The sequence below is a fragment of the Homo sapiens genome, chromosome 12 (genome assembly GCF_000001405.40).
Source record: "Homo sapiens chromosome 12, GRCh38.p14 Primary Assembly".
Taxonomy (NCBI): domain Eukaryota; kingdom Metazoa; phylum Chordata; class Mammalia; order Primates; family Hominidae; genus Homo; species Homo sapiens.
The window spans coordinates 122600565-122617136 of NC_000012.12; the positions used below are offsets into that span (position 1 = coordinate 122600565).

The 16572-nt window shown below is 41.1% G+C and overlaps 1 protein-coding gene across 9 annotated transcripts in view, besides 1 other annotated feature; it reads left to right on the forward strand.

Annotated features, from left to right (window-relative positions):
- KNTC1 (kinetochore associated 1) overlaps positions 1–16572 on the forward strand; it is a 99148-nt gene that overhangs the window by 73316 nt on the left and 9260 nt on the right. For 3 of the 9 annotated variants that reach the window (NM_014708.6, XM_006719706.3, XM_017020255.3), the window contains 13 exons: positions 972–1061; positions 2005–2176; positions 2265–2323; positions 2463–2679; positions 4000–4073; positions 4313–4523; positions 4742–4851; positions 8820–8866; positions 10258–10336; positions 12548–12666; positions 13062–13197; positions 14427–14522; positions 14906–14962. In NM_014708.6, coding sequence (NP_055523.1) covers positions 972–1061; positions 2005–2176; positions 2265–2323; positions 2463–2679; positions 4000–4073; positions 4313–4523; positions 4742–4851; positions 8820–8866; positions 10258–10336; positions 12548–12666; positions 13062–13197; positions 14427–14522; positions 14906–14962 — 1467 coding nt within the window. Of the gene's footprint in view, positions 1–971; positions 1062–1286; positions 1423–2004; positions 2177–2264; positions 2324–2462; positions 2680–3999; positions 4074–4312; positions 4524–4741; positions 4852–8819; positions 8867–10257; positions 10337–12547; positions 12667–13061; positions 13198–14426; positions 14523–14905; positions 14963–16572 lie in introns of those variants that run through there. The other 6 variants (XM_011539027.4, XM_017020254.3, XM_047429917.1 and 3 more) reach the window with 6 other exon arrangements.
- Positions 12288–12357: an enhancer, noted in NCBI's record as "active region_7232". NCBI's record gives its function as "activates an Ori minimal core promoter by ATAC-STARR-seq in GM12878 lymphoblastoid cells {active_cell/tissue: GM12878}" and the evidence as "EXISTENCE:reporter gene assay evidence [ECO:0000049][PMID:35858748]".

Genomic DNA, 16572 nt, shown 5'->3' on the forward strand with positions numbered 1-16572 from the left:
TTTTCCCATCGTAAATGAAAGAAAGGGAACTTTAATTTCAAAATCTTATAAAATTTTGACCATACCCCTACCCTTTCTATGCTTTTAGTATCTTAAGAGCTTCCTTCTTTTTTTTTTTTGAGACATAGTCTGGTTCTTTTGTTCAGCCTGGAGAGCAGTGGCGTGATCTCAGCTCACTGCAACCTCCACCTCCCAGGTTCAAGCAATTCTCCTGCCTCCGCCTCCCAAGTAGCTGGGACTACAGGTGAATGCCACCACACCCAGCTAATTTTTGTATTTTTGGTAGAGATGGGGTTTCACCCTGTTGGCCAGGCTGGTCTTGAACTCTTGACCCCAGGTGATCCACCCGCCTTGGCCTCCCAAAGTGCTGGGATTACAGGCAAGAGCATCCTTCTTTATTAAAACAAGACTGCCTTGTGCAGCTTTTAAAAACAGCCTTTGATACCTTTTTTTAGCATGTATGTTTATCCTCACAGGTAATTTTAGAGGTGAGAAAATTGTAGCTCTTTATTTTTTTATTTTTATTATTTATTTTTGAGATGGAGTCTCGCTCTGTCACCCAGGCTGGAGTGCAGTGGCGCAATCTCAGCTCACTGCAAGCTCCGCCTCCCGGGTTCACACCATTCTCCTGCCTCAGCCTCCCGAGTAGCTGGGACTACAGGCGCCCACCACCACGCCCAGCTAATTTTTTTTTGTATTTTTAGTAGAGACGGGGTTTCACCGTGTTTGCCAGGATGGTCTCGATCTCCTGACCTCGTGATCCACCCGCCTCGGCCTCCCAAAGTGCTAGGATTACAGGCGTGAGCCACCGTGCCCGGCCGATTGTAGCTCATTTTTAAGGGAGTAATTAATTTAACAATGTAGTGCAGTGACATTTTTATATTTGTAATCTGTGCTGATTATTGTAATTGAATAAAATTTCAACATGGCAAAGTCTTATCAAGTTTTGATATATTTTTGTTTTTATACAGTTGGATCCTTATGACTATGAAATGATTGAAGTTGTCTTGAAAGTTATAGAACGAGCTGATGAAAAGATAACCAATATTAATATTAATCAGGTATAACAAATATATCAAAGATGTAAAAATCATCTTTCTGCTTTTATTTGGATCATAAATCATATCATTATCCAGGGCCTTTCCAAATTATCCATTGAATTCCCTTTAAACTCTGTGGTTTATTTTAGGTTTTTAAAAATCTTTACAAATCTTTAAAAAAAGAAAAAGATTTTCATGACATTCCTATTTTATCACTTATCTTCATCCTTTTTTTGCTGTTTTGAGGTGATTTAAATAACCTCTCCTGCTGTCGAAGAGTATGAAGTCACTACAGAACTAATTGTGAAGAATTAAGGAAACATTTGCCATGTAGGAAGTGAAAAAGGCCATGGGACTGAGAGTTAGGTCAGCTCTGTGTATTAATGGGTAGGTCCAAGACCTACTCAATTATGTCTCAGTACTTTCATTAACTTCTTCATCGTTTCTGAATTTTGGTCATAGTGGCTTTTATACTTTTTAATTTGATTTTAGAAATTAATATTTTAGAAATATTTTAATATTATGTTAATAAGACTTATTATATAAGAAAATATATCAATTCAAAAGATTATACAAAGTGTCCTAATATAAAATATAAACATAGGAAAGATAAGAGCGTAGAGAATTTAGATCTGTAGCCTCTATATTTAAAATGAAATCAAGTATTTTGAATTATATCTCAAATTATTTGAAGAGCAGATAACTGTCAAGCTCTTATTTACAAAACATCTACCAACAACAGGGCACCAGTGGTTTCTCCTCATAGGATTCCTTTAATCATTGTATATAAATTATAGTTTAGATGAATAATGTTAAAGAGAATACTAGAAAAGGTTTTGATCCTCTTTCTGAAAACAAGATGGTCTCAGGAATGGAAACTTTTGATGGTATACTATTAGATGATTTTATGACAGTTTAGGATTGGGTTACTCTTACTGGACAAAAGTTTTTTATTTTAATATAGGCATTGAGTATTCTGAAACATTTGAAGTCATACAGAAGAATTTCTCCTCCCGTGGATCTAGAATATCAGTATATGTTGGAACATGTCATAACTTTGCCATCAGCTGCCCAAACTAGACTGCCTTTTCACCTGATATTCTTTGGCACAGCACAGAACTTCTGGAAAATTCTCTGTATGTGTTCATTAACTTTTTATGAATTTTACTGGATAGCCAAATTTTTTTTCTTAAGCAAATCGTACTTTCCTTGTTTCCTTTCTAGCTACAGAACTCAGTGAAGAATCTTTCCCAACATTGCTCTTAATTTCGAAATTAATGAAGGTAATGGATTAAAACATTGTAAGACATTTCTGTATCCTGCAATTAATTCTGACCCCGTATAGAAGATTTTTCTGCTGCTTTCATGTAAAACCTTATATGTGAATATGTGCTTCAGCCATAACCTTCCTTTTCTTTGAAGTTCTCTCTGGACACTCTGTACGTGTCTACAGCAAAACACGTTTTCGAAAAAAAACTGAAGCCAAAGCTCCTGAAGTTAACACAAGCTAAATCCTCAACACTGATTAACAAGGAAATAACTAAGATCACGCAGACCATCGAATCCTGCTTACTCTCTATAGTCAACCCAGAGTGGGCTGTAGCTATTGCCATCAGCCTTGCCCAGGATATCCCTGAAGGTATGAGCTCTTCTTTTAAAATTGTAGTTAAAAAAAAAAAAAAAGTACTCTTTTTGCATCTTTAAGGAGAAGCAGGATGGTAGTTTTCAAATGTATTTGCTTGCTCTCTTAACTGTGGTGAATGCTGAAACGCTCAAGGGCAGTGGGCATGGGCAGGGAGGCAGGCAATTTCCAACTTGTCCTTGTGCCGCCTTTGGGGTGTGACCTTTGCTAGGAATAGGCAGTGATGGGTACTTTTAATATCCAATCACACTTTCTTTTTTTTTTTGAGATGGAGTCTTGCTCTGTCGCCAGGCTGGAGTGTAGTGGCATGATCTTGGCTCACCGCAACCTCCACCTCCCGGGTTCAAGTGATTCTCCTGCCTCAGTCCCCCGAGTAGCTGGGACTACAGGTGCGCGCCATCATGCCCGGCTAATTTTTGTATTTTTAGTAGAGATGGGGTTTCACCATGTTGGCCAGGATGATCTCGATCTCTTGACCTTGTGATCCGCCCGCCTCGGCCTCCCAAAGTGCTGGGATTACAGGCGTGAGCCACTGCACCTGGCCCAATCGCACTTTCAATGAGGAATCTTTAGATAGTCTCACATAACCAAACAGGTGCACAAGCATAGGCACTCACTGCTACATTTTTGGTTGTAACAAAAGTTGAAAGTGACTTTTTAAAAAATGCTCAGGTCAGGAACTGGTTAGAAAATAGGGTGTATTCATAGAACGAAATATTATGGGGCTGATTTGGAGAGATATCCAAGATATGAAGTGAGAACAGCAAATTATACTAGAATATGTATGGTATTACCCATTAGGGTTAAGATGCACATGCATGCATGTGTGAACACAGACTGACACACACACACAGAAAACTCCTAAAGGCATATAAGAATTTAGAGAATAGGAATGGAATCTGATGAGAGGGCCCCGGTGGGCTTTTTTTTTTTTTTTTTTTTTTTTAACAGAGTCTTGCTCTGTCGCCCAGTTTGGAGTGCAGTGGCGTGATCTTGGCTCACTGCAACCTCTGCCTCAGCCTCTCGAGTAGCTGGGACTACAGGCATGTGCCACCATGCCCAGCTAATTTTTGTATTTTCAGTAGAGACAGGGTTCTTCCGTGTTGGCCAGGGTGGTCTCAAACTCCTGACCTCAGGTGATCCACTTGCCTTGGCCTCCCAAAGTGCTGGGATTACAAATATGAGCCACTGTGCCCAGCCATGAGTATGCATTTTTGTAATTTTTAAAAAGTTGCTAATTTGACCAAAATACATTTTCTTGAAAAGATTAAGATTTGCCTGTAAATCTTTATTTATTTATTTATTTATTTATTTTAGGTTCCTTCAAGATATCTGCTTTGAAATTCTGCCTTTATTTAGCTGAGAGATGGCTACAGAATATCCCATCGCAGGTGTGTCTGAACTATCAGATTGGCGGCTTCTCTTCTTCCTAATTAAATTGTACTAGCTTAATTTACCTTCTCATGCTGCCCTGGTGCCTAAAATGGAGAAGGAAGACCAAGGCTTTATGTAGATGCTTAGGAACATAACTGAGGAAGGGGGGAGGGATTGTGATTGATAAAGATGGATGCTTGGCTTCAACTGAGGCTTACAAAGTAAGATTTTCTTTTTGCTTGGAATTGTTTAAAAGGACGAAAAACGTGAAAAAGCCGAGGCTTTGTTGAAGAAGCTTCATATCCAGTACCGGCGATCGGGCACAGAAGCTGTGCTCATAGCCCACAAGCTGAACACTGAGGAATATTTAAGAGTGATCGGAAAGCCAGCACATCTTATTGTCAGTCTCTACGAACATCCTAGCATCAATCAAAGAATTCAGAATTCATCTGGCACAGATTATCCTGGTGAGGACAAAACAATTTTTTTGTTGTCCAAGAAAAGCTATTATTTTGATTCTCAGTTTTATGTATATATGTACGTGTACATATATATTACTTACATATGCTTATATATGTATATACTTATATGTGTATGTATGTGCATATATACACATACACATATAAGTATTCAATATAAATATTTAAAACTTGAGTTTTTCTTTTCTTTATTTTGAATATCTTAGATATTCATGCAGCAGCTAAAGAAATAGCCGAAGTCAATGAAATTAATTTGGAAAAAGTCTGGGACATGTTGTTGGAAAAATGGCTATGCCCTTCAACAAAACCTGGTGAAGTAAGTACTTGCTGCCCAAGAGTATCTGTAGTTGAGTATGCACTGATGGCTTCTTCTCAAAGGCTAAATATTTATCCCACATGATACAGCCTTCTAATTAGGAGCGCAGACTCTTCAAAGAAGGAAGTTTCTTTGTTTGTTTTGTTTTTGAGATGGAGTCTTGCTTGTTGCCCAGGCTGGAGTGTAATGGCGCGGTCTCGGCTCACTGCAACCTCTGCCTCCTGGGTGCAAGTGATTCTCCTGCCTCAGCCTCCCGAGTAGCTGGGATTACAGGCGCCTGCTACCACACCCGGCTGATTTTTGTATTTTTGGTAGAGACGGGGTTTCACCATGTTGGTCAGACTAGCCTCGAACTCCTGACCTTGTGATCCTCCTGCCTCAGCCTCTCAAAGTGCTGGGATTACAGGCGTGAGCCACTGCACCTGGCCTCTTTTGTTTGTTTTTTAAAGACAGAGTTTCGCTCTGTCACCCTGGCAAGTGCAATGGCACAATCATGGCTTACTGCAGACTCGAATTCCTAGGCTCAAGCAGTCCTCCCCACCTCAGCCTCCCGAGTAGCTGGGACTACACGTGTGCATCACCATGTGTGGCTAATGTTTTGTTTTTTTTGTTTGTTTGTTTGTTTTGTAGAGACAGGGTCTCTCACTTTGTTGGCTAGGCGGGTCTCAAACTCCTGGCCTCAAGTGATCCTCCCGCCTCGATTTCCCAAAATGCTGGGATTACAGGCATAAGCCACTGTGCCTGTCTGGAACTTTTGTTCATTATAGTACCCTCTGTTATCTGATAAGTTTTAAAGAGATTGTTTACTTTTTTTTTTTTTTTTTTTTTTGGATACAGAGTCTTACTCTGTCATCCAGTCTGGAGTGCAGTGGCGTGATCTCAGCAACCTCTGCCGAGGTTCAAGAGATTCTCCCTCCTCAGCTTCCCGAGTAGCTGGGGTTACAGGTGTGCGCCACTATGGCCAGCTAATTTTTGTATTTTTAGTAGAGTTGGGGTTTCACCATGTTGGCCAAGCTGGTCTTGAACTCCCGACCTCAGGTGATCCGCCCGCCTTGGCCTCCCAAAGTGTTGGGATTACAGACATGAGCCACCACGCCTGGCCTGTGGTTGCTTACTTTTTGTTTAAATATTGTTTTGTAGCTGTTTTACCTTTCAGTTGATGATTTCAGATGCTGTCTTGTATGAAAGAAATGGCCTGTTCTTTTACTCAGATTCATGTGATTAACTTTTTGTTTTGAAATAATTTAAAATGTACACAAAAATGCAAAAATAGTAAAAAAAGAATTCCTATATACACCTTTCACCGAGATCCATGAATTTTTAACATTTTGCCATATTTGCTTCATCTCTCCTCTATAATTGATACTCTTACGATATTTTTCTGAACCATTGGAGAGTAAATTGCACGTGGCATGCCCCCTTACCCCCTGAATATTTTAAAGGTGTATTTCCCAAGAACAGGATTTTCTCTAATCCAACCATAATATAATTATCAAAATCAGAAATTTAATGGTGATATAATTGAATTTATGGTCCATTTTGCAGTTACACCAATTGTCCTAATAACGTTTTTTATATAAGCAGTTTTCTCCCCCAGGTCCAGGATCTTGTCTAGGACTATGCCTTGCATTTGTTGGTCATGTCTCTAGTCTGTTTTTGTTTTTTTGACACAGAGTCTGGCTCCATTGCTCAGGCTGGAGGGCAGTGGTACAATATTAGCTCACTGCAACCCCCACCTCCTGGGTTCAAGCGAGTCTCATGTCTCAGCCTCCCAAGTAGCTGGGATTACAGGCGCCCGCCACCATGCCCAGCTAATTTTTGTACTTTTAGTAGAGATGGGGTTTCACCATGTTGGCCGGGCTGGTCTCGAACTCCTGGCCTCATATGTTCCTTCCACCTTGGCCTCCCAAAGTGCTGGTATAACAGGCATGAGCCACCGTGCTTGGCCTCTAGTCTGTTTTAATCTGTAACAGTTCTGTGACTTTTTCTTGTCTTTTATGATATTGACATTTTTGAAGAGTGAAATCCAGCTGTTTCATAAGCTGCCCTCCAATTTGCGCTTGTCTAATACTGCCTCATGGTAATATTCAAATTACTTATTTTTAGCATCATACTGCATAAGTTGTGTTGTGCCCTCCTCAGGGTATGACATTTGGAGGCACATGAGGTCCCTTTGCCCTCACAGGTGATGTTAATTTAGGTAACTTGGTTACGGTGTTGTCTGTTTCTCTACTCCATAATTACTATTTTTCCTTTTGTAATTATTAGAGGAAATATTTTAGGATGATACAATATTCCATTCCTCTTCCAACTCCTTTCCTCTACCCCTGCACACCTGATTTATTGATGTTTTTGAAGAGCACAGGCCAGTTGGTTTATAAAATATTTCATTTTGGGTCTGCTAATGTTTCTTGTGATTTGATTCAGGTTATGTGCTTTTGGCAACAATACTGTATAGGTGATGTATTACTTTCAAAGGATCACACCAGGAAGCACATAATGTCAGTTTTTAAGAAATAGCATCATTAACAACTAAAATTTAAGATAGGATTCAGCAAATCCAGATCTTCTGTATCATTTCTTCTGAATTTTCAGGCAGAACTTGAGGTAGATTCTATAATTCCTATATCCACCTAGGCAGATATTCTTGGGGGAACAAAATCTATTTGTAAACAAATAGTGTAATATGACATTAGGGTTTTGTTTGTTTGTTTGAGATAGGGTCTCATTCAGCCACCCAGGCTAGAGCAGTGGCATGATCTCAGTTCACTACAGCCTCCGCCTCCCCGGCTCAAGTGATTGTCATGCCTCAGTCTCCAGAGTAGCTGGGACTGCAGGTGTCCCAGCTACTTTTAAAAAATTACCTGTGCCCGGCTAATTTTTTTAGTATTTTTACTAGAGATGGGTTTTCGCCATGTTGCCCAGGCTGATCTCGAACTCCTGAGCTTAGGTGATTCACCCACCTCGGCCTCCCAAAGTGCTGGGATTACAGGTGTGAACCACTGCACCTGGCCACCATTAGGTTTTTAATTAGCAATTTTTATATCATTTGGCATTTGATTCAACAAGGATTTTTAAAGTATTTACCAAGAGCATGGACTGTGCTTCAGTGGAAACAGGAGTTAGAAACATCTTGGCCACGTAGAATATGTGGTTGACTTTTAGAAACCAGCCTTTACAGATGTTTTAACTTACATGTAAGTTCAAGGTACACACTAAAAGTTCCTTGAGGCCAGAAACTGCATGTATACATAGCACCTAGTACAGTACTTTGTAAATCCCAACAGATATATACTGAATTAACAAATGGCTCATTTAAAATTCATGGAGTCTTTTCCTTTTACAAATTATCTAATACGGGGCTGGGCAAGGTAGCTCATGACTGTAATCTCAGCACTTTGGGAGGCTGAGGTGGGAGGATTGTTTGAGGCGAGGGGTTTGAGACCAGCCTGAGCAGCATAGTGAGACCCCCATCTCTACAAAAATTTAAAAAATTAGCCAGGTGCCATGGTGTGCACCTGTGGTCCCAGCTACTTAGGAGGCTGAGGCAAGAGGATTGCTTGAGCACAGGAGGTTGAGGCTGCACTGAGCCGTGGTTGTGCCACTGTACTCCAGCCTGAGTGACAGAGCAAGATCCTGTCTCCAAAAATAAAAATAAATAAAAATAAAAATCCAATGCATGTCAGCTCCAGGAGGACAGGAACATTTGCTTTATTTACTCAGGCAATCTATATACTTAGAATTGTGTCTATCATATAGTAAGTGCTCAGTGAATATTTGTTGAGTAAACAAATATGAGTAGACCCATCAGTTAAGCAAAAATCTTTTCATAATTTATGTTATAATTTTTCAATGTAAACATAATATCGTATATTAGGTTTTTTATCTAATAGATTTTCAGAGAGATGAATGTTTGTTTAGTCATAAACTTTTTCAGTTTTTGACCTTTTTTTCCTACCTTTTCAAAGAAACCATCAGAATTATTTGAACTTCAAGAAGATGAAGCCCTACGAAGGTACTCTTTTCCTTTACTTATATTCACCTATATCGTGATGCAAAATAGAAATCTTACCAGTACATTTTTCAGCAGTTGATTTTTTTAAAGGGCTTTCTTGATAAAACTCAGGTCAGAGTCTATGAGATGAATCAGTTCACTAATACGTGGCTAGGAGTCTGCAGTGGAAAACATCAGAGCCAGCCAAGATCTAGAATTTCTGAACTCCTGCGAGGGCGAGGGTTCCTAGCACACCTTTAGCTGAAAGGTGCCTCTCAAGCAGAAGAAAACTCTTTCTTAGCTAGGACTTTGGCCCCAGACCCTTTTATGTTCTCTTACCATGCTAAACTGGGTTGGTTCAGATATGGGCCACCAGATTCTTTTTGCTCTTCTAACCTACGACTGAGGCCTAGAAAGGCACATTGATTTTATCTAATGTGCTAGATCTGATTGGTTATGGCTTGTATTCTTGAGAAGACTCTATCTGGGCTCAAGTCAGAACGAATGTGGCAATCCATTAATGATGCCTGGCACAGGCATGGATAAGGGAGCATGGTGGTTCACATGCCAGCCAGCTTTTTGTCTTTCTAGCCTAAACCAAAAGTAAGCCAAGTGGCCTGGGGAGGCCCTATGTCCAGCCTCAGCCTTGGAGAGCTGATAGAAAAGATGTGGAAAGACAACCCCAAGAAACGGATTCCTTCTGGTTTGGAACAAGCAAAGCTGTCCTAATCACCCATACCATGCCCTCTTTCCCTCTGGACCCGCACCTTGGCCTCATTTAGTCTTTTAAGGGAAAGGCCACCTTTGTTCAAACAAGAAGTAGCTCCTGGTATGTCTACCTGAACTAGGCACGTGGAAGGTCTTGGAGGGAAGCGATTTAAAGAGGAGAGAAAAAGGAAATCCCAAAAGGCTACTTAATGCAAAATTCATAACGTGCTGCTTTTTCCACTAAAAGCTCTGCCCCACCCCTCCTCCAGCTGGCCTGATTCATCCTCCCTTCCCGGAGAGGGGCCAGCCTGCCCTGGGTCTAGAGGTTGAAATGGGCTGCTAACAAGGTCCTGCATACCAAACACAGAATTTCCCATGTGTAGCATTCAAGGGACTTTACAGCTACAGTTTGTATTAATTTCTTAAATAAAATTTAAGGGATCAGAGATTGACTAGCTATTCTATAGATGAGGAGGCTGAAGCCTGGCGTTTATTGTGTGTATTATCATCTTTAGCAATGAAAGAACTCAAGAAAAAGATTAAGCATTCTTTAAAGGGGGAAGCGCAAATGTCATTGACCCATTATCCTTCTGATCTGCCTTTGAGTTGTCTAATGACCGTTCCATGGATAGAAAGATAAGTCTGTTGTTTTGGTAATCCATCACTAAATTAAAAAATGACTGTAATTAAAATTTTTTTTCCAGAGTGCAGTATCTCCTCCTGTCTCGTCCAATTGATTATAGTTCAAGAATGCTGTTTGTATTTGCAACATCAACTACAACCGTAAGCTCTAGAAACTTAATCCAAACTCTTCTGTGCATCTCAGCTTAACATTTTTTTCCTGTTTATTTACCATGCTTGATTGCATTAACAGATGATTCAGATAATGCTCACGTACATATGTATTCAAAGTCTGTCTCATCTCCTAAGCAAGCATTGTCTTGCACCATGCTCCATTTAGTTCTGGTCTCTGTAACATCTGCTTAGCGTGCTGAATGGTGCACCTATTGACAGTTTCCACTGGCTGTCTGCATTCACAGTGGTTAACTCCCTGGTCAGTCCACATTCCTGAAGCCAGGAGCCAAACAAACTGTCCACAAACAAGTCTCCACCAAGGCCTAATCTGGCTGCATGCTCTGGTCAGACCACCCCTTCTGCCCACTAAATTCTAGCTAGATTGAACTTGCAATTTCCCCTAACGGCAATATGACCTTTAGCTTCAGGTTCTTGCCTATAGAAATGTCCTCTGAGGCAGTTGGAGCAGAGAGAGGAGAAGGGGATGGAGCCAGTAGGCAAATGATTCTCAGAGAAAAGGAAGAAAAGGAAGTCTGAGGTGCTGATTTTAAAGTCCGTGACAAAAAGGAAAAAGCCTCCCCTTATATTCTCTACATATAAAGACTTACGACCTAAAAATGGTATTCCATGAAAGGTGGCTAGTGCAGCTCACAGCTCAGCTGTGTACATGCTTTTCTTTGCAGTCTGCCTTATGTGTACTTCCCATTAATTAGTATTAGCATGTATTCAAATGGGAATTCACATTAGTATGATATACAGTAATCTTTCCGTATCTGTGGGAGGACTGGTTCCAGGACCCCCAAGGATACCAAAATCTGAGGACGCTCAAGTCTTTCATATAAAACGGTGTCATATTTGCATGTCACCTACATACATCCTCCTATATACCTTAAATCATCTCTAGGCTACTTATAACACAATGCCTGCAAATCACTTCGTCCCCATGGATTCAGTGTAGTACTTGGCATGCAGCAAATTCATGTTTGGTTTTTAGAACTTTGTGGATTTTTTTTTTTTCTTGAGTATTTTTGATCCACTGTTGGTTGATTCCACGAATACAGAACCCATGGAAATGGGGGCTGACTGTGGATTCAAAAGTTGAGGTTTAGTAAAATTAATTTTTACTACTTCATCAAGAACATTCTGGTTTTTTTTTGTGTTTTTTTTTTTTGAGATGGAGTCTTGCTCTGTCACCCAGGTCGGAGAGCAGTGGCACAATCTTGGCTCACTGCAACCTCCGCCTCCCGGGTTCAAGCAATTCTCCTGCCTCAGCCTCCCGAGTAGCTGGGATTACAGGCGCACGCCACCACGCCTGGCTAATTTTTGTATTTTTAGTAGAGACGGGGTTTCACCATGTTGGCCAGGCTGGTCTCGAACTCCTGACCTCAGGTGATCCACCCACCTCGGGCTCCCAAAGTGCTGGGATTACAGGCGTGAGCCACTGCACCCAGCCCATCAAGAACATTAAGTGAAATTTGTCTTTGGTTTTCTTTTTCTTTTTCTTTTTCTTTTTTTTTTTTTTGAGAGAGAGTCTCACTCTGTTGCCCAGGTTGGAGTAGTGCAGTGGCGCGATCTCAGCTCACTGCAACCTCCGCCTCCGGGTTCAAATGATTCTCCTGCCTCAGCCTCCTGAGTAGCTGGGATTACAGGCACGTGCTACCACACCCGGCTAATTTTTGTATTTTTAGTAGAGACGTGGGTTTCACCATGTTGGTCAGGCTGGTCTTGAACTCCTGACCTCATGATCCACCCGCCTCGGCCTCCCAAAGTGCTGGGATTACAGGCGTGAGCCACTGTGCCCGGCCACCTCTTTGGTTTTCAGTACTGCCAGGGCATGCCTGTAAATACAAGGGCTGCAACAACAGTTGGGGGCCCTCCCTCCATTCTGCCTGCAATTTCACCCACCATTGCTTTTGCACAGTCAGTGCAAATATCAACACAGTGTAAAGGCAAATAACATCTTAGTATCATGAAAACAGCTTTGACCCTTTCCCTCTTGAAGGAGTCTCAGGAATGCCCCTTCAGGGGTCCATGGACCACATGTTAAGAACCACTGTTACACACAGTGCGTTCCGTAACTGTAGAGATTGACTTTACATTTTAAAATAATGACGTTGTTTATGTTGCCTATGTTGAAACTCATTTACCCAACTACAATGTGCAGGTGTTCAACTCTCCAAACCTCTTTTGGTTTTTCAGACATTAGGTATGCATCAGTTAACTTTTGCCCATAGAACTCGAGCTCTTCAGTGTCTCTTCTATTTGGCTGACAAGGAAACTATAGAATCTCTCTTTAAAAAACCCATTGAAGAAGTGAAGTAAGTAGAAATGTTTAAATTGTATTAAGAAATAGGAAACAGATCATTTTTTGGAGCTGTACCTTTTAAGCCCTGAATTCAGAAGAGCATAGTAGAGTAGCTGTGTGAATACAGTTCTGTTGCCCTGAATATCCTTGACATTTTGGCAAAGGGAAAATAGGGCTTTGAGAACATCTTGTTTCCATCGTTTCTTGGAGACATTTAGAAACTGAATGTTTTATTTATCTTGTTCAAATTGATTTCTATCTAATGTTATTATATATTCAGTGAATATATTTGGAAGTCCAAAATGGACATTTAAAACAAACTGGCCTAATATTTCCATATGGTAGTTTTTATTTTAAATGTAAATGTGGCCTATGAGAATGATTCTTAGAAACGTTTCTGTTTTCCAGATCTTATTTGAGATGTATAACTTTTCTGGCATCATTTGAGACTTTGAATATCCCCATCACATATGAATTATTTTGCAGCAGTCCTAAAGAAGGAATGATTAAGGGTCTGTGGAAAAACCACAGCCACGAGTCCATGGTAGGTACACCTCACTGCCCCATTCCCAATTCCCTGCCCCTACTCAGAATCCTGAAAGAGAAAACCAGGAACAGTCTTTTTGTTGTTGTTGTTGTTGGGGACAGAGTTTTGCTCTGTTGCCCAGGCTGGAGTACAGTGGTGTGATCTCAGCTCACTGCAACCTCCATCTCCCGGGTTCAAGCCTCAGCCTCCCAAGTAGCTGGGATTATAGGCGCCCGCCCACCACACCTGGCTAATTTTTGTATTTTTAGTAGAGATGAGGTTTCACCATATTGGCCAGGCTGGTCTCGAACTCCTGACCTCAGGTGATCCACCCACCTGGGCCTCCCAAAGTACTGGGATTACAGGCATGAGCCACTGCACCCGACCCAGGAACAGTCTGTATCCCTGAGCAACTCTACTGCTCTGAGACCTTTCTACTCTCCTGTCACAGCGTGTGGATGGATAAGGCAGTGTGGAAGGTCCTTTTACCTCTTTTGCCTTAAAGTCCACCAGCTAAAGTCATCCCTGCCAACCAGAGAGAGCACTTTTATAATCTCTTCCACGGCTTATCTGTCCTTATCTGGACAGGGAGAGGAGACTGTCCGGTAGACAGAGGATGTCATTTCTCTTCCTCTTAGTTGCCTATGGGATTTAGCCTCTGAGTCAGTTGGAGGCTGGGGCAGGAAGGTTTTTTGGTCCAACAGGCAAACTTTTTCAATAGAAGAAAGAAAGGGGGAGACATCCGAGGTGGTGTCTGAGTCCATGACAGCAAGAAAAATAATCTTTTTTGTCATGTCTTTCATTAGAAAGATGGGGGTCTTCGATAGACATTCACAGATTAGAAGCATATTTTGTGGCCGGGCGCAGTGGCTCATGCCTGTAATCTCAGTACTTTGGGAGGCCGAGGCAGGTAGAGCACTTCAGGTCAGGAGTTCGAGACCAGCCTGCCCGACATGGTGAAACCCCGTCTCTACTAAAAATACAAAAATTATCCAGGCATGATGGCGGCCGCCTGTAATCCCAGCTACTCGGGAAGCTGAGGCAGGAGAATCGCTTGAACCCAGGAGGTGGAGGTTGTGGCGAGCTGAGATCATGCCACTGCACTCCAGCCTGGGCAACAGAGTGAGACTCCATCTCAAAAAAAAAAAAAGCAGCATATTTTGTATTAAGCTGCCCTACTTTTCCAAAGATGGCTTGATTTACTGGTGTCTTGGAATAGCATGATTTTTTTCTTTTTTTGGCTTCAGGCAGTAAGATTGGTGACTGAGCTGTGTTTAGAATACAAAATCTATGACCTGCAGCTTTGGAATGGACTCTTGCAAAAGCTTCTGGGCTTCAATATGGTAAGTAAGACTCAATGCCCTCGACTAAGTATATTTGAAAGCTTTTGCACAGCATCCCCTAAACATTTTGGATTGATACTTGTTATGGAACAGATTTATGCTGAAAACACAGTCACTCTCACTGAGCTCATGCCAAACTTAAAGAACTTGGTGTTAGACCAGAGAGTGCAAAATCCAAAATGACATAAATTTCATTGGAAACAAATGGAAGGTTCCCTAGCCTTTTTTGATATTTATGAACTTGTAAGTGAACTTCTCTGGCAGTTATCATGGAAGATAACGTTTTACCAGTACTTCTTCTGGAACTTTAACATCTGGTATTTCACATTGAAATTTTCCATTTTGGTGGTCTTTAGAACTTTTTTATTTTTAATTTTTTACAGATTCCTTATCTAAGGAAAGTTTTAAAAGCCATCTCCAGTATCCATTCTTTATGGCAGGTATGTAGTTTTTTAAAATAAATTTTATTGAATTTAGTCTTTATACTTTCTGGCCTTGTGACTGCTGGGGACACTGGATTAAGCAGTCAGCTCCTTCTTAAATAACAGAACTGAGCCAAGTACAGTGGCTCACTCCTGTAACCCCAACGCTTTGGGAGGCCAAGGTGGAAGGATCACTTGAGCCCAGGAGTTTGAGGCTGCAGTGAGCCGTGATTGCACCATTGCACTCCAGCTCCGGCCTGGGGAACAGAGCTAGATCCTTTCCCTAAAATAAAGAAAGAAGAAACAGAACTAATCAGCTGTAGGATGATTAAAGTTGTGCCCGGACCCGTTAATACTCAGCTCACATCACCTCCTGAAGATACTGTTTTCCTGAGTTTTCCAGGCCTCACGAGTCACATCTTTATTTATGCTCTCAAGACATTTTGGCTCCACTCTGACTTTTGTCACCATATAATTAGTTTTAATTATATGTTGGACTGCCCCTCACAGACTTTGAAGATCTTTCATGTCAGATACCCTGGCTTGTTCATCTTTTCTACATTTCACATAAGTTGTGTACCCATATAATCATAATATATATTACGCAGAAATATATAATTTATTCTTTGTTTGATAAATTAGAACAATATAGAAGTATGCTGAGTAAAACATGAAAATTCCCCCTTACTCTTTCCCTTCATAATTATCTCCCTAAGGGAACGACTGCTTACAATTTCCTATGTATTCTAGAGATTTCCTTTTTTTTTTTTTTGAGATGGAGTCTCGCTCTGTTGCCCAGGCTGGAGTGCAGTTGTGTGATCTCGGCTCATTGCAAGCTCCGCCTGCTGGGTTCACGCTATTCTCCTGCCTCAGCCTCCTGAGTAGCTGGGACTACAGGCGCATGCCGCCACGCCCTGCTAATTTTTGTATTTTTAATAGAGACGGGGTTTCACCGTGTTAGCCAGGATGGTCTCGATCTCCTGACCTTGTGATCCGCCTGCCTCGGCCTCCCAAAGTGCTGGGATTACAGGTGTGAGCCACCGCACCCGGCCGAGATTTCCTGTTTTACAGGCATGTATGCTATGTGTGTGCATATCTACAGTGTATATATGCATTTTTGCACACATAAATGCAATCACATTCTAAACAAAGTGTTGTTTTCACATAACAGTGGTCTCTGGAGATTGTTCCATATCAGCACATGTAGATCTATCTAATTGTTTTATTGAGATACAATTCACATGTAAAATTTATCCTTTTAAAATACACAATGAAGTAGTTTTTGGTATATGCACAGAGTTGTACAGCCTCACCATTATCTAATTCCAGAACATTTTCCTCACCCCAAAAAGAAAATTCATATCCATTAGCAATCATTCCCCATTCCCCACTCCCTCCAGCCCCCAGTGACCACTAATTTACTTTCTGTCCATGGATTTGCCTATTCTGGACATTTTGTATCAACAGAATCCCACACTATGTGGGATTTTGTGTCCGGCTTCTTTCACTCAGCATCCACATTGTAGCATGGATCAGAACTTCATTCGTCTTTATTGCCAAATAATGTTCCATTATATGGATATACCACTTTTATTTATCCATTTGCCAGTTGATAAAGATTTGAGTTT